This window comes from Homo sapiens, chromosome 8, assembly GCF_000001405.40.
Source record: "Homo sapiens chromosome 8, GRCh38.p14 Primary Assembly".
NCBI classification, from domain to species: Eukaryota; Metazoa; Chordata; class Mammalia; order Primates; family Hominidae; genus Homo; species Homo sapiens.
In genome coordinates, this window is record NC_000008.11 from 81,147,859 (window position 1) to 81,166,002 (window position 18,144).

Here is an 18,144-nt window from a genome sequence, read left to right on the forward strand (position 1 = left end):
AGTCTGATTTTACTCATTTTACCAGCAGGGGTGAAGGAACAGTTTGACACACTGCTCACATACCAGAAAGTGGCCAAGGAAGGCCTTTGACCACAAATGCTGGGGTCATCTCACGAGCTACCGTTTGCCTTCTCAGCACATGACAGCAAGTTTGGAGGCAGCCTGGTGAGCAGCCAAGAGCAGCAGTGGTTACGCCTAGGGAAGAGCATGAGTTAGAACATCAGCATTACTTCTTTCCAGCCATGGGAGCTTGGGCTGGTAAGTTTACCTTCCCAAGCCTCAGTCTCCTGATCTCTAAAATGAGAATAATCATAAAATGGGCCTCAAAGAATTGTTAAAGGATTGAATGAACTTCTTATGTCATGCCTGGCATATTTGGCACTCAGTAAATGGGAGCTACCTATCATCTCAGAGGAGAGTGCTTAGCCCTTAAGTTGCTCTTTTTAAGCTCGGGCACATTCACTCACTCATTGTATCCTCCCAGATTGGAAGGGTTGGGCACAAGAGGAGCTCCCCAAGACAGGTGCTCCCTGGTCTCTAGCCCTCTTTATGGAGAGATAGTGCACCCAGTACCTCCTTAAGACAAATACTCCCCACCACCCAGCCTCTTGTCTGGCACCGGAGCAGAATTGTCAGGGAGTGTGAGTAAGCAGCCGGCAAGAACCCTCACTGTCTGGAGGCATATCCACACCTGAAATCTCTTATCAGAGAACATTGAGGTTTACTGCAACTGAAGGGCCTTGTGCTGGTATCAGAGTGCTGCCTTTCTAACATAATCACTTCTCTCTTGTACCTTCTAGATGTCTAAGTAGGAAGATCTTCATAAATATTTCGCACACCATGTTAGAACCTTTAAATCTGTTTGAACTGGATTCTTGTTAGGAAGAAATTCATTTCTAATTTAATTTTAATTTTTTTGGCATGTTTACTCCATCAAACAATTATCCTGCCTAACAAATTATGTAAAAAAAAAAAGTTAAAAATAAGGGAGTCACATGACCTTTGAAGTTAGAAAATAAATCAGAGAAGAATAAAAAGGGGAATGAATTGTTCTAAGTATATCAGAAAGGCTTTATGTGTTCAGAAACTCATTTACTTTTCTCCAAATCAATATGCAGTGCTCAGCACAGAGAACTATCAGAGAACTATTGAATATAAAGCACAGAAGATAACAGCAGTGATTACAACATGCAATTGTGCAGCTGTGATATCATCCCCTCCCGCTCCACTGGGTCCTCCCCATCAGATTGGTTGCTATGTTAATATTTTAGGCTTAAAGGACCAGAATTAATTCATTCAGTCTTATCTCTGATGCGTTGGTTTTCTGTCAAAAATTCCTGACAGAATTAACAGTCAAAATGAAGCAGGATAATTGGAGACGGAGCCATGCAGCCGATCATGCCATCCTTGGAATTATTGGGCACACCATCATCTCTTGCTTGGATTCAGGATCTTGGCGTGAGTTGATCCCTCTTCCCTATTCTACAGAGCGACAATTTTGAGCTATAAATAGACCACCCCATGGTGGTTTTCTATGAATAATGAATATGGAATATGATCTTCCTCTGTTTTGATGAACAACTACTACAACAATCAGACGAAATCTAACAGGCAGCTGGACGAGGTGTTGCAAAGCCCCTAAAAGTGACAAAGTGTGAGTTAAATGTATATAGGCTGATTATCTTACAGCTTCTTATTTCACATGATAATGAAGTAGTTTTCTATTAACAGAGAGGTCCTATGACATAGATAAGATACTCCAGAGGATTTTCCAGTTCATTTGACCTTACAGTAAAATAGAGAAGTGTTTGGGGCAAGACAACAGAAAACTGACAGCTGGAATGAGAATGTGAAATTTACAGCTTTTTCATACCTAGTTCCATCTCTGCCCCTCCCCCAGTCCATCCCCTCGGATGTTTTCTTTCTCAAATAGGAACGTGGAGAAACGGAGGAGGGAAAGAATTATACAAGTGTCTGGCTGCCAATAAAGACAGCACCTACTTCATGGTCAGAAATGATTAATCTTTATGACCGTTCTTATCACCATTTACTCAGGAACAGTTGAGAATTCAGTCATGTGGTGGTGAGCAACTATAATCTTTCTAATCCAGATTTTCTACTTCTGCCTTTTAATCCCTGGTTGGTTACTCCAATCTAGATTTCTTCCCTCTAAGAAATTTGCTAAAGTCCCCAAAAGATTTCTGGAGGGAAAAAATGCTGCCAAAGATCATTCTGGAATTTCAGGTATGATCACTGTGTAGATGAGGGTGTTTTTGAACTTGGGTAGGCCGCCCAATGGAACAATTCCCTGTGCCTCAAGAACAGCTTTCTGAGTTTGGCTAAGGAGGCCAGTAGTTAGGTATCAGCAGGATCTTGGAAGAGGTGGTAAGCTGGAGGAGGAGGAAGGTGAGGAGCAGATGAAATTGAAGAAATGAGATATCTCCCTTGATTATTTCTTCATAAGTCAGCAGAAGTTGGTTAGCAAGGAGGGAGGGAAATATTTGGTATGTTATTAACAAAGCTGCTGTAATAAATTATGAAACAGGCTGTGGCAAAAGGCCTGTGAAGTACACCATGTACCCTTATCAAGATGGCTTCCCTTTGCCCTAGGAAATTGCTTATGATTAAGATGTTGGTTAATACCTGTGTCTTACAGCACCCATTACAGATTTGCAAATGCCTCATCACTGTCACTAGGCACCAAACCTCATCTTCTCTGATTTGCAGCTTTAGTGGCAGTGACCAACATAAATAATTAAATAATTAAATATGCACATAAATCTTTTCTCCAATCACTTGTCTAAAATTTTCACTTTTCTAAAGAGTAGAGAAGATTAATTTTTAATGTTATTAAATTAGGTAGGATAAAACCTAAGAATAGGCACATTTGAACATTTGAAAGAATGATCTTGCTCTCATTATGAGAGTGACATCTAAACCCCCCGGCTACACCCACCTTATTCAGCTGTTACTGAAACTTCAAAGGGAAAATAATTCATTAAATTAAAGGACTAAGTATTGAAAGGCCTTAGTTGAATTGTTGGCTAATATGACCAACTAAACTTAATTAGAAATATGGTCAAAAATAGCATATACTTTCCAACTCTGTTATCCACAGAAAGGAAAGGGAGGTGAGATGTAGCTAACATTGTAATGTTTGCACGATTCTAAAAATAATTGTTATTGGATTAAAAAAATACATTATATACATTTTCACAGCAGGAATTGGAGGTTGAGTCAGACGTGAATGAAAGATCTCATTCCAGTCCTTTGCACTTACTATGATAACTTTTAATTGTAGGACCACCAGCCTACTATAGCCTCTTAGCTTGGCTCTGGAAAAAAGTCATGAACAGTGTGTGTGTGTGTGAGTGTGTGTGTATGTGTGTGAGAGAGAGAGAAAGAGAGAAAGTGAGATCACTTGGAATCATTTTGAAATATAATTTCCCCGTACTATTTCCTATCATAATGACATGTAACATTGTATAAATGGTGAACAGTGAGTTTATTTTATTAAATGTGGTTTAAAGTGTTTTAACTAATAGCAACAACCATAGCAAAGAAGATAATGTTTCGATTCTGGTCCTCCTTAATACCCATCTTTAAAATATTTTCTTTAAGAAATATTTAAGAATATTTTCTTTTTCTAGAACTGCAGCACCAGTATCAATACAACGGTGGGTTCTTTGATCTTTTTGTTAAAAATTTTTTTTTTAATGAAACCGGTAAGAATGATGTAGATATTATCAAGTACACATTACTAGAGCAATATTGAATTTCTGTATAAAGAAATTTAAGTATGTAATAATAGACCACTCATTTTATAAAATACTTAATTCTATGAAATTATAGTCAAGATGATTTGATTAATCCACTAAGTTTCCTTCAAATTGAATTTGGCTAGCTCTTACTTAGGAAAACTGACTTCTATTGAGACCAAATTGCTGCAAACTGAATCATTGTGTGTTCGAAGTATGCGAATCTCCCAGGTGAGACTCAGGATGGCAACACAGGCATCTAGAAGCAATTTAAGAAGTGATTAAAGCCCAAGAGCATAGTGAAGGAAAAGAAAACAAATAACAAAGCAATGGCTGCATAGCACGTGTTATTAAGTCCATCAAAGGTAATTATGAAAAATATCTTAGACAAGGGATTGATGATCTCTTCTTAGAATGAATACTTTTAGTAAAACATCTTTAAAATATCTCTGTTTTAAAATTTTTGTATATAGATCTATCAGAGATCTCTCTTTTTAAACTAAAGGGAGACACAATGAAAAGTTTGGAGATCAGTTGTTCAAAAAGTTTAAGATTAGCCGGGCGCGGTGGCTTACGCCTGTAATCCCAGCACTTTGGGAGGCCAAGGCAGGTGGATCACGAGGTCAGGAGATCGAGACCATCCTGGCTAACACGGTGAAACCCCATCTCTACTAAAAATACAAAAATATTAGCCGGGCATGGTGGCAGGCACCTGTAGTCCCAGCTACTCGGGAGGCTGAGGCAGGAGAATGACGTGAACCCCGGTGGCGGAGCTTGCAGTGAGTGGAGATCATGCCACTGCACTCCAGCCTGGGCGACAGAGTGAGACTCCGTCTCAAAAAAAAAAAAAAAAGAAAAAAAAGTTTAAGATTAGAGTTATTTAACCTGATGATGTCTAAAAGCACACCTTTGCCTCTCCCAGTGAAGCAAACGTTGAAGGAAAAAAAAAAATCCTAAAGAATGAAAAAGAAACTTGAAGCAAAGTATATGATCCACAATTTGGTGTACAATGTCATTCACAACAGTCTTACTGATATGACTTCTGGAGCTGATTTTTTTCATGTGTGAGCGTTTACCATTTTATGTTTAAGTTTATATCAATTTTTCAAATTACCTTTAAACTGTTAGGCCTGTAAAAAAAAAAAAAGAATTAATTCTGAAGGGAAATAAAATTATCATGCAGGTCATTTAGCTTAAGATAAAAGTCATTTCATTGTATGCCCCAAGTCTTACTCAAAGAAAGTCTGTGAGTTCTTTTCAAGGCTCAGGAATAGAATCCCAACTAAGCAGGGGGAACTCTTACTGTAATTTTAACTACCTGTATTCAATAGTCATGGTGATTTTGATTTGCTTTTCTTTTACTAATTTTTTTTCCTGTTCCATGGTTTCCATGGTGAATTCCTATAATACAGGTAGACTAATCCTATCTTCCTTTGAGTCAAACAGTTCCAGAGGTGATGTATCACAGTGGGCCCTATGAAATCCAATCAAACCAGGGAGAGGCTAGTTTCTAGTTTCAGAAAAGAAATTTACTCTCAGACAATATATAAGCTTCCAATAATTAGAAAGGAAAATCAGTTTAAAAGATTTAACGAGTTTTTATCTTCATAATTAGTCACATCATTTTGTTAAAAGGGAAAAAAACAGGCTTCAATGAGCCTTCTGTACCATAATAACAGATTTGCATGGTGTGTTGCAGTTTACAAAGCTTTCTTACATCTAATTGCATTCTAATTTATATGGTGTCTGTTTACTTTTCTATCAGATTTTAGAACTCTGTTGTGATCACTCATAATCTGAAACTTGAAGCTATAAAGATGGCTAAGCAATAGCAGATAAATTGTCTTGAATAAAATATAACAGAGAATGATAATGACAGCCCCGGAAGATGCTTGTTAATATATGATTCCACCTCTAGCATGATCTCAGAGCCGGGGCTTCAGAGATAACATTGATGTGAGACTCTACTGGACTTAATTTGATTTTTAAAATTATTATTCAAAATCACTTCCTAGGAGACAGTATTATTATTTAAGTTTAGTTTTTAAAACCATTTCATCTCTACCACTATTGCTTTTAAACTTTTCTAGATTGCATTCTTACAGAAAAGCCTCTTTGCAGTCAACATCCACAGAAAAGAAATAGAAGCAATTGATCTGCAAGGACCTGCCTTTGAAATATTGACACATTGAGGTAAAATCAAATGCTTCACATTGTGAAAATAGCTAACGCTCTTGTTTGTGAAATTCAAATAAGCATTTCCTCATCATTTGCATAGATCCAGTTTCGCTTCCTAATTTCCATACTGCCACCTGGATGCATTCAGGCTGTTCTGTGACACAGTTGAACTAGTTTAGAAGGTTCCTCCTTTGTCTCTGGGCTCCTTTTCTTTTATTCCCCTAGGACTCTTTGCTGCAAATGATTTTATCTGAAGCTGTGTCTGAACAAAAATAGACAAATGGAGAACTGAGGCAATTATACTATTAATTCAAGCAGAGAAAAAAGCACTTCGCCTGAGTTATCTGGCATTTCCTGGCAAAAATCTTTTTCTATGTCAATGATCTAGAAGATTGCCTAACTTCTTTTCTTCAGGGGTGTAGATGTGGCCTATGTCACATGGCTCTCATTGCCTCATTTCCTGCTGCTTCAGACTGTGTCTATTCTAGGAAGGCTGACACATGATGAGAAGAGTCAGTGGTCCTGAGGTACAGTACTTAAGATAACCCTGTGAAGGCTGAGATTGATATTTGAAATTCACAACTGATCTTGGAGCCTGGTACAGCAGTCATGGTAAGCTGGACATACATACACACACACACACACACACACACACACACACACACACATATATATATATATTTTTTTTTTGAGACAGAGTTGCCCTCTGTTGCCCAGGCTGGAGTGCAGTGGCGCAATCTCAGCTCACTGCAACCTCTGCTTCCTGAGTTCAAGCAATTCCCTTGCTTCAGCCTCACAAGTAGCTGGGATTCCAGGCATGAGCCACCGCACCCGGCTAGTTTTTGTATTTTTAGTAGAGACAGGGTTTCACCATGTTGGCCAGGCTGGTCTCAAACTCCTGACCCCAGGTGATCCACCTGCCTTGGCCTCCCAAAGTGTTGGGATTAACAGGTGTTAGCCACTGCACCAGGCCTGGACCAATACTTTTATTCATTCTTTTACTCACTGAGTGCGTGCTCTGTGCTAGGTCTTGGAGATACAAAGATGACAATGTCTTGGCACTTGTACTAGCAGTTTAATACACATTAAGAAGTAGTTACAACACCATACAATAAGTTTGAACAATGATTCCATTGAGGGGAAAAGCGTATACCCTCTAAAAGATTTAAAGTAATAGAAGCAGAGCCACAAAGGCAATTCTCCACGAATGCACTTCTTCTGTGTTATCTTGTTTGCTTTCGCCTACAATCCCTTAAAAATGACATAAGCCAGTTTCACTGGAGATTCATTTACTATCTCTTAAGGATACTCGGTCTCTGAGAGTTGTGGGGTGGACACTTTCAACAGACCAGGGTTTGGCAGAGGTTTGTCATGCCTTTTTGCCAAGGGCTCACCCTGGCAGATGGCAACAGCTGTTTGTGATTGTCAAGAAAGTGCAGGAGGAGCCCTGCAAAAATGTCCTTTTTATTACACCATTGACTTCTTTCCTGAGAGTGGTTTTTCACTGTATCAGTGCATAATTGATTTTGCTAACGCATTTACTCTAATCATACAAAAACCTAATTACTCTATGTAATGAATCATTAACAATTTCCTTAAATTCATTTCAGTGTTTGCATGCTGGTATTCAATTTATGCTAATAAACCCAAAATATTCATGTCTTTAAGTCAGAGATTGCAGACTATGCTAAAAAATTTGTTTTACTAAATGTACATTTTAAATCTGTATTTTATAAAATACTGAGGTGTAAAGTCTGCAAGATTATTCTGAAATACACAGCATTCAAATTTTCTATTTACTTTTTAAGCAGAGTTCTTTTTATCTCCTTCACACTCCGAATTCACTTAGCTACAACAAAATGACACGTGGTCATGTTTAACTTAAGAGCATTAATTGGTGTTTGGTAATGAAAGATCAAAAGTGACTGATGTCAAACTTTTTCACTTTGATTTATTCACATTGAGATTCAGCCTTTGATTCATTTGCTGAAATAGATATTAGGAATAAGTACCTTATTTTTATTACTAATGAGTACCTTATTTTATTATTTTAATCAAAGAAGAGGAAATTAAACCTTGAATTCTAGCCATAAAAATATATCACTATAAAATCAGATTTTTTTACAGTACTGCCATTATTATTATTACCTTATTATTAAACACATACTATGCACTTAAGTGTCCATTTACTCTGATAAGTGCTTAATGTTCACCAATTCATTTAATCATCTTCTAAACCTATGAGGTCAGTACTATTATTATACTCATTTTATAGACAAGAAACAGATTTAGAGGGCTGGGCACCGTGGCTCACACCTGTAATCCCAGCACTTTGAGAGGCCAAGGTGGGCGGATCACCTGAGGTCAGGAGTTCGAGACCAGCTGGCCAACATGGTGAAACCCTGTCTCTACTAAAAATACAAAAATTAGCCAGGTGTGGTGGTTCACGCCTGTCATCCCAGCTACTTGGGAGGCTGAGGTAGGAGAATAGCTTGAACCCAGGAGGCAGAGGTTGCAGTGAGCCGAGATGGCACCACTGCACTCCAGCCTGGGCAACAGAACAAGAGTCCATCTCAAAAAAAAAAAAAAAAAGAAAAAAAAGAAAAAAGAAAAAAAAAAGAACAGATTTAGAGAAGTGAAGCAACTTGCCCAAGGTTACACAGTGTTGCACAGTGGTTCTCAACTGGGTGTGATTTTTGCCTCCCTAGGGACACTTGACCATGTCTAGAGATATTTTTTCTTGTCACAACTGGACAGGGGGCAGCTGGCATGTAGTCAGTAAAGTCCAGGGGTGCTGGTTAACATCCTACAAGGCACATGCCAGTCCCCATGACAAATAATTATCTAGTCCAAAATGTCAGTAGTGTTGTGGTAGAGAAACCTTGGTGTAGCAGCTGTGTGTGATGCCCATGTCACAGCTTCTTGGGCTACTGATTTCTGAGCAGCTGTGGTGGGCAGCTGTGATGGACAGCTGTGGTGACAGTGGCATGCAATTACTAGTGTCTCACTTCAAGCACATGTGGTAGTTGCTCTTTGCTTTTCTGCCTTAGGGCTTTCTCTGAAACACCTGTGCAGGTGTAACTTGGGATTGTGCTGGTGTTATCATCTGGGGGAAACCTTCAACCAGGGTTCAACTTCCCTGTTATTTGATGGGACCATTCCAAGGGCATTCTTCACAATTCCTCTGTGTGTCCCCAGAGGGATTGAGTCTCAATTGCCTACAGTGGTAACTGGCTGGTACAGCAGGCCCTTATTCACCCTGCCTTCTCCCACTGGTTGAGGGTTGCCTAGAGTTCTTAACACCTCTGAAATTTCAGGCTGTGTTGTTAACTGAGCTTTAAAGAAAGCTTTGTGGCAGAGAAACAGAAACATCATCACGTGAGCTTGAGGTGGGATTCCGGTAACTACACTGCAGACTTTGAACTGTCAGCAATAGTTGGCTGAAATCAATAACACACATCAGTTTTTATCACTTCCTTGTCTTACTCCTCATATTCTTTTTCCTAGCCTAGCCTCCCTTATAAACCACCTGTACCCAAGCCCTTATTTTAAGCTGTGCTTTCAAGGGAACTCAAACCAAGACATTAAGCTAGTAAGTCTGCTATATTATATTGCAAATCCAATGAAACAGAACCAAAGGCTGAGTTTCAGTCCATTCTCATCCTTTGGCTGAGGATTCCCTCTACAGCGTGAATTCCATACTCAACGATTTCATATTGATTTTTCAGGACTCTAAATTCTCTCACCTCTGTATCTTTTTCCAAACCCAATTGTGCATCTTTAATGATCAAATCATTCTTTTTTTTTTTTCTTATGCAGGAGCCATATTGGATTGTGAAAGGAACTCAGTTGACCTGGCCTATTGCAGATTTATTCTGAGAATTTCAATTCAGTCTTTGCTGCTGTTTGGAAATCTTTCATGAATCTTTTAATAACTTCCTTACATACATCTTGTTCCATTAAAGCCCCAAATTTGGCTTTGTCAGCTCTCTTTCTTCATAATCTTTAGGTAACATTTGATATCTTCATCATGAATTTTTTTTTCAACTTCCATGATTATATCACATTTACTACTCCTTTGATCTCTCTCTGACAGCTCTTTTTCTTTAATCTCCTAACATCTGATTTTCCTCCTCCCTCCAATCTGAGGCTAAGACTCATCATGGGTCCTTTTTCTATAACCACTCCCTGGGGAGCTCATTCACTTCCATATGGATGACATCTAAATTTCTCTTTCCAGCTCTGAGATATCCCTTAGGGCTCAGGGTCATTCTTCACTGCCTATTCAATTACTAATAAGGAAGCCACAGTATCTTTGAGTAGCATTTTGCAGTTTAATATAATCTCTCTAAAAATGGAGTTTAAATTCATCTCTGACCCTCAAACTAGTCTCTCTTACCTGTCATACCACTGAATAGCTAGAAACGAGGAATCATCTTAAATTCTGTTCTCTTCTTCATTGCATTGTTGGCTGTACACCCAGCATCCCTTACCCCTTTCCTCTTCTCTTAAACTCCAGTTTTGGTACAGTATCCAAATCCTCCCCTAGGCAGCCCATGTGGCTCAGAAGTCAAACTCTCTCCCAAGCCCAGGAAGGCACTAGAATGGTCCAAGGAGAATCCTCTTTCTTCATGCCACATTGCTTTAGTAATTGGCATACAAACCAGTTAATGTCCCTGAGATTCAAGAAAAGATTTATTAGTGATTCTCGGGAAATTCTTTATTGCATTTCTGAAAAAGCTTTCAGGAGTAATTCTTTCTCTATGTTTTTTCTTGCTTTTTCTCAGGATTTGTTCATGTGTGGATGTGATGGAACTGAAGTCGCTAGGTTCATGCTACCTGGAACATGAGACTGACAAATAGAGGAGCACTGAGTCAAATGAATCTCGGAGAAATGGAGCTGGAAGAAAACTGGAGTAAGCCTGTCCCTGAAAGGGCACTACATTTGGATATCCAGCAGTGGGACTCAATATTTTTTCTTGTTGTTTAATCTCATTTCTGTTACTTGCAGCCAAAGGCTCTTAATGAGAAAATGGCTCTACCTAGTTTTCTGAAATTGCCTCAGTCTCTCCACTCTTCCCTATTACAAAGGTCATCTCTTTAATTCACATCCAATAACTGATAGTCTCTTGACTAATCTACATCCTCTCATTCTCTCCTAATTCACCTTTCATACTGTTGCCAGGTGACTTTTCCTAAAAGACAACTTTCATGATGTCACTCTACTTCATAAATTCTTATAATGGTTTCTTTTTGCTTTTAGTCCAAACTCCTCAGGTTCGTTTTCAAGGCTTTTCATAATTGAATTTCTTTTATATACCTAAGATGATTTCTCTGTGTTCCCAAATGTACAATTGACAGTCCTTCCTCCTGATGTTCTCTCCAGTAGGAAATGTTTGCTCTATGTAAATTCAGTATAGCTTTTAGTCTCTATTCAAGTTCTACCTTCTTCATAAACTTCTCCTGAATAGAATCAGCCTATAACCATTTAAACTGTCTTTATTAGGTGCACACTATGTGCCAGGTACTCAACAAGGCAGTGGAACTATGAAGACAGATAATCACAGTCCCTCTTGCCTCTGGGAGCAGGCAGTTGAATGCAATGCTTTTTAAAGTTTTAAGTAACGTGGTCATGCAAAATCTTATAGATATACATTTGAATGTACAGAGTTTAATTACCAAGCTAGTGAGACTTAATGTTTCAATTAATAAAAAGTTTGGAATCAAGGTATATAGATAAGTATAGTGGTCTTATATTTAGCCTCAAACTGAAATTTATGTCTTATTTTATTATGGTTACTTAATATTTTAAAAGACTATGATTCATCGGGCGTGGTGGCTCACGCCTATAATCCCAGCACTTTGGGATACCGAGGTGGGTGGATCATGAGGTCAGCAGTTCGGGACCAGCCTGACCAACATGGTGAAATCCCATCTCTACTAAAAATACAAAAATTAGTGGGGTAGGCATGGTGGCGGGCACCATATATCCAACATTATGGTACAGTCATTTGTTGCATAACAACATCTCAGTCAACCATGGACTGCATATACAAGGAATGTGCCATAAGATTATAATACTGTAACTTTACTTATCTTTTCAATGCCTGTAATCCCAGCTACTCAGGAGGCTGAGACAGGAGAATCGCTTGAATCCAGGAGGCGGAGTTTGCAGTGAGCTGAGATCGCGTCATTGCACTCCAGCCTGGGCAACAGAGCCAGATTCTGTCTAAAAAAAAAAAAAAAAAATGGACTATGATTCATAGAGTCAAATAGTTATAAATATTAACAATCTCAGAATTTTATTTTATTTTATTGTATTTACTTATTTATTTATTTATTTTTTTGAGACGGAGTCTCGTTCTGTCACCCAGGCTGGATTTCAGCTCACTGCAACCTCCAGCTCCTGGGTTCAAGCAATTCTTCCACCTCAGCCTCCCGAGTAGCTGGGATTACAGGCACGTGCCACCGCCCCCATGCCCGGCTAATTTTTGTATTTTTGTAGAGACGGGGTTTCACCAAGTTGGCCAGGCTGGTCTAGAATTCCTGACCTCAAGTGATCCACCCGCCTCGGCCTCCCAAAGTGCTCGGATTACAGGCGTGAGCCAGCATGCCTGGCTTCAATCTCAGAATTTTCTATTAAACAGAAGGAACAGAAAAACTTTCTGAAATTTGCATAAAGTTATTTTATATTGCATAAGTTAACATGTTGATGGTATTCAGTGATAAATTTTATGTATATATATTATTTAAATCATTCATTTATTCAACATATAGTTATTTACCATGTGCTATTCTCAACAGCTAGTTATTTACCAAGGCCTTATTCTCAATCATGTACCCTCAATATGGTGATAATATGCCAAGGGAGAAAATATTAGTTATTGAGGGTGAAAAATGTTAGATATTGAAATGGTTTGTGGCCCCCCAAACATAATCATATATACAGCCTATCTGTGGTATTAAAATTTCATAGGGTGGCGATTAGGAAAAAAGATGCCTGAAAAAGTCCTAGGGGAACAATAATGAAAAAAATATTGAGAAATACTTTTTCAGATACTGGGAAAACAGCAATGAACAACACGGAAAAGAAAACCCCTGTCCCGATGGAGGTGATTTTCTCATGGGGAGGATGAGCTAACAATAAACAAGATAAATAAGTAAAATATATAATGTGCTATGGAAAGAAAAAAAGCAGCACAGGACAATGAGAACAGTCAATTAAAGGAAGGAGATAGGAAGTGGATGTGTGAGAGAAAGGGCATTGGCACTAGCTAAGGTGACCATGGAAATCTGAGTAAAGAAATTCATGGTCGAGGGAGCAAGGGAGGAGCTCTCCAGAGATGGAACAGGCTGTGCAAAGGCCCTGTGGAGAGAGCGAACCTGGCACACCGGAGGACCAGCAAGCCTGTGTTCTGGGTGAGGAGGCCAGGAAGGGTATTAAAAGGCCATGCCAAAAAGTTCACATGGCCCAAGTCACAAGGGTTATGTAAAAACCTTTTGTAATGTTCATGAGAAAAGAAGAAGTCATGGGTGTGTTCTGAGGAGGACATGATGTAATCTGACTTACGTTTTTACCAGGATCACTCTCAGCACAATGCTGAGAATGGGCTGAACAAGGCAAAGGGAACGCCAAGCAACTAGTTGGGAGGGGTACTAGGTGGCTCAGGCTGCCAAAAGAAAATAGCACAGGCTGGGTGTCTTAAACAACAGACATTTATTTCTCATGGTTTTGGAGGCCGTGAAGCATAAGACCAAAGTACCAGCAAGGTAAGTGTCACTGGGAGGCCTCTTCTCTTAGCTTAAAGGCAGCCACCATCTCGCCATGTGTTCATATGGCCTTCCCTTGATGGGTGTGCCTGGGTTGGGGGAGGAATTAGGAGAGGAAGAGGAAGAGAGGGAGAAAGAGAGCGCTTTCTTGTGAGCCTTCTAATAAGGACACTAATCCATTGTACCAGGGCTCCACCCTCATGACCTCATCTAACCTCCCAAAGGCCCTGTCTCCAAATACCAGCACATTGCAGGTTAGGGCTTCACTTATGAATTTTGGGGAGACATAGACATTCAGTCCACAACAAGAAGCTACTGCAATAATCCAGGTGAGGGATGATGGGAGTTTGGACAACGTGGTATGGTAGACAGAAATGGTTGGACCGTGAATGGGGTTTTAAAGGTAGAGCAGACAGAGCAGTGTTGCTTGATCTAATGTGGAAGATGAGAGAAGAGAGGAGTCAAAGATGTCTAAGGGTTTTGCATACACAGGTTATCAGTATTATTTTTACTATGGTTTTCAATATTGATAAGTTGAACAGGATGCACCAAAGCACTTAAGATTCTTTGGAACACTAGAGTTTGAAAATGTTTGGTCTAAAGAGTCTTAATTTGTAAATAAATGTGAGAGGCATTTGAAATTAAATTTATTTTTGTTTGACACAATGGCTGGGAACACCTGGCATTTAAAGGACAGGGGCCAGGGATGTAAGCAATCTTACAATGCATGAGAGAGTTCTGCACAAAGAAAGAAATGTTCTGTCACTAATTCTAACAGCACTCCTATTGAGGAACACTGGTGGAGTTGTTTTCATGTATTTGTTATCTTTTTAAAATATTTTATTGCACTTTGATGCAACAGAAAACAGTATCTTTCGCTGCCAATTATTTCAGGTACAGTTTCCCCCAGCTAAGTTCTAAAGGCCTTGAGGGCAGAAGTCATCTTGTATATTTCTCTTGTATCCTTATACAGTGAAAGCAGAAAAATACCTTTATTTTGCTATGTCTCTTGTTTTCTCCATATGCAGTGGCATACTCTCATTTTATCCATTTCTGACAGGAATGAAAGAAAAGATATACGCAAAGTGGATTCTAATCATAGGTGAGGACTAATTTTTGTTTTAAGGACTCAGCATGCAGGAAATAATATACAAGTATTAGCTCTTATTAATGATAACAATGGGAGGCATATATAATTTCTTGATTAAAGCAAATGCCAGCCTTAGTTATCAGGTTTTCTTTTTGTCATCACTTTGCCCATTTTCTTAAACTCATATCTTTACAATAGAATTAAATTTTTTTTGGCTAAATCAATCAACAAAAAGTCTATTTTCTAAATCACAACATAATCCCAACTCTCTAATAGTTATTTCTTCGTGTTATTTCACAAATTTTGTCCACATGTAGTTAATTTTTAAAAATAAAATCTTTATTTTTTAGAGCAGATTTCAGATCACAGAAAAATTGAGTGGAAGATATAGAGATTTCCCATATGTCCCCTGCCCTGAGACATGTATAGCCTCCCCCATGATCAACATTCCCCTCTAGAATGCTACATCCATTACAGTTAATGAACCTACATTGACACATCATTATCACCCGAAGTCCATAGTTTACATTAGGGTTCACCCTTGGTGTTGTACATTTTATGGGTTTGGATAAATGTATAATGACCTATATCCAACATTATGGTACAGTCATTTGTTGCATAACAACATCTCAGTCAATCACAGACTGCATATACAAGGATGGTCTCATAAGATTATAATACTGTAACTTTACCGTATCTTTTCAATGTTTAGATATGTTCAGATACACATATACTTACCATTGTGATATAATTGCCTATAATATTCAATGTAGTAACATGCTGCCTAGGTTTGTAGACTAGGAGCAATAGGCTGTATGTGTAGGCTACAGCATCCAGATTGGTAGAAGTATATTCTGTGATGTTCGCACAGCAATGAAATTGCCTAATGGCGCATTGCTCAGAATGTTTCCCTGTTGTTAAGTGATGCATGGCTACGTCATACAGAGTAGTTTCTCTGCTCTTAAGATTCTCTGTGCTTCACTCCCTTCTGACCTCTGGAAACAACTGATATTTTTGTCTCCATTATTTTGCCTTTATAGTTGGTTTTTAAATTAGAAATAATAAATACTGAATATGTAGTTATTATGACTTTTTTATTCACTTAGAATCATTTTGTAAATACTTTTCAATGTTTCTACCTAATGATCAGAGTTATAATTTTAATAGCTGCATATAGTCTAGCATATTTACTGTAGCTTTTTCCTTTATTGTTGGACAATTTGTCTTTGGTCTTTCATGAGTTACATATAATATTTCTATCTAGTCTTTTTGCCATTGATTTTTCTCATGCTCTATTACATATCACCCCCCACCCCCAACTTCACTCACCAATTATTGTCTACTTGCTTGGCTTCTGACTATTGTGGTTTATAGATGCATGCTGACATCAATTTGCCTACCTGCCTTAGCTTCGATCATTGATAGTGCTTGATCTTTCCAGCTTTTCTTCAGTATTCACATTCTTGGCTCACAATAGCTGGTACTTCTGATACTATGCTGCTCAAAAAGTACTTGGTCTAGTGTGAGGCCCATGTGGGTAATCAGTTGGATGATTCATGGTAAGAGAAAAGACATATCCTAGAATAATTGAAATTTTCTTTCTTTCTTTCTTTCTTTTTTTTTTGACAGAGTTTCATTCTTGTTGCCCAGGCTGGAGTGCAATGGTGTGATCTTGGCTCACCGCAACCTTGACCTCCTAGGTTCAAGTGATTCTCCTGTCTCAGTCTCCTGAGTAGCTAGTATTACAGGCATGCACCACTATGCCCGGCTAATTTTGTATTTTTAGTTGAGATGGGGTTTCTCCATGTTGGTCAGGCTGGTCTCGAACTCCCGACCTCAGGTGATCCACCTGCTTCAGCCTCCCAAAGTGCTGGGATTACAGGTGTGAGCAGCCGTGCCCTGCTGAAACTTATTTGTTTGAGCAATAAAAGCCACATATTTCCTCTTTTGATAAAGTGTAAAATTATAGTACTCTTCCAAGATACTCATGGATTGATAACAAAAAACTAACAACTGGATATTGTTTTAAATATTGAAGAAAAGCAAACAAATCAACATCAGCCATAACATTGCTTCATATGCCAAAACCAGGATGAAATAATGCTTTTATAGAAGATGTGACCTGGGATCAAATAGCATCATTTACCAAATGCAAAGGATTGGTGTAGCTCTTGACTTCAAGGCATATTAAATCTAGCAAAGCTAAGATTCAATATAGATGTAGGTCCAATTTCATGACAAAAAATCAAAGAAACCAACCAAAATCAGAGAACTTAGTAAGTTTGTGGGTATGCAATCTACAGAAGTGAATTATATATATATGATAAAAGAGAAGAAAAGACTCTATTTACAATTCAACAAAAAAGATAAAACGCTTAGGAATAAGTATGAGAGATGGGCATGATTTATATAAAGAACATTTTAAGATGCTACCAAAAAACACAAAATAAAATGAATAAATGGGAAAGCATATAATTTCTTAGATAGGAAAAGTCAACATCACAAAAATTTAATTCAATAAAAATAGCAACAGCATTTTTATTTTGTAATCAGAGACAAGCTAATACTAAAGTTCAAATGAAAAAATAAAAAACAAAAATAGTCAAGAAAAATCTGGAAAAGTGATCATAAAGAGAACTAGTTCTTTCACACATTTAAACACATTTTAAATCTTCAATAATAAAAATAATGTGTGAGATCTGGCAAGCTGGCCAAATAGGAACAGCTCTGGTCTGCAGCTCCCAGTGAGAACAACACAGAAGGTGAGTGATTTCTGCATTTACAACTGGGGTACCTGGCTCATCTCATTGGGACTGGTAATACAGTGGGTGCAGCCCATGGAGGGCAAGCCAAAGCGGGTCAGGCGGTGGGGGGTGGGGGTGGTCACCTCACCCAGGAAGCACAAGAGGTTGGGGAACTCCCTTCCCAGCCAAGGGAAGCAGTGAGGGAATGTGCCTTGAGGGACGGTGCAATCCGGCTCAAATACTATGCTTTTCCCACAGTCTTCGCAACCCGCAGACCAGGAGATTCCCCTGGCTGCCTACACCACCAGGGTCCTGAGTTTCAAGCACAAAACTGGGTGGTTGTTAGGGCAGACACTGAGCTAGCTGCAGGAGGCTGGAAAGCCAAGCAGAGCCAGAATGGACAGAACCATTCACTCCCCTGGAAAGGGGGGCTGAAGCCAGGGAGCCAAGTGGTCTTGCTCAGCAGATCCTACACCCACGGAGCCCAGCAAGCTAAGATCCACTGACGTGAAATTCTCGCTGCCAGCACAGCAGTCTGAAATCCACCTGGGATGCTCCAGCTTGCTGGGGGGTAGGGGCATCCGGCATTACTGGGACTTGAATA

At 38.9% G+C, this 18,144-nt stretch overlaps 1 long non-coding RNA gene across 9 annotated transcripts, besides 2 other annotated features; it reads left to right on the plus strand.

Annotated features, from left to right (window-relative positions):
* The first annotated feature begins 134 nt into the window (after positions 1–134).
* Positions 135–16,747, plus strand: LOC105375924 (uncharacterized). 9 transcript variants are annotated; one of them, NR_188116.1, is made up of 5 exons: positions 6,442–6,548; positions 9,756–9,945; positions 10,724–10,852; positions 14,767–14,808; positions 16,426–16,747. It is a non-coding gene; the product is annotated as an uncharacterized LOC105375924 (long non-coding RNA). The 9 variants fall into 9 exon arrangements; NR_188113.1 differs by lacking the exons at positions 6,442–6,548; positions 14,767–14,808; positions 16,426–16,747 and adding exons at positions 135–1,458; positions 5,849–5,951 and having other exon boundaries at positions 10,724–11,667; NR_188115.1 differs by lacking the exon at positions 9,756–9,945.
* Positions 6,302–6,351: an enhancer, noted in NCBI's record as "active region_27579". NCBI's record gives its function as "activates an Ori minimal core promoter by ATAC-STARR-seq in GM12878 lymphoblastoid cells {active_cell/tissue: GM12878}" and the evidence as "EXISTENCE:reporter gene assay evidence [ECO:0000049][PMID:35858748]".
* Positions 8,835–8,894: a silencer, noted in NCBI's record as "silent region_19327". NCBI's record gives its function as "represses an Ori minimal core promoter by ATAC-STARR-seq in GM12878 lymphoblastoid cells {active_cell/tissue: GM12878}" and the evidence as "EXISTENCE:reporter gene assay evidence [ECO:0000049][PMID:35858748]".
* Positions 16,748–18,144: the final 1,397 nt, after the last annotated feature.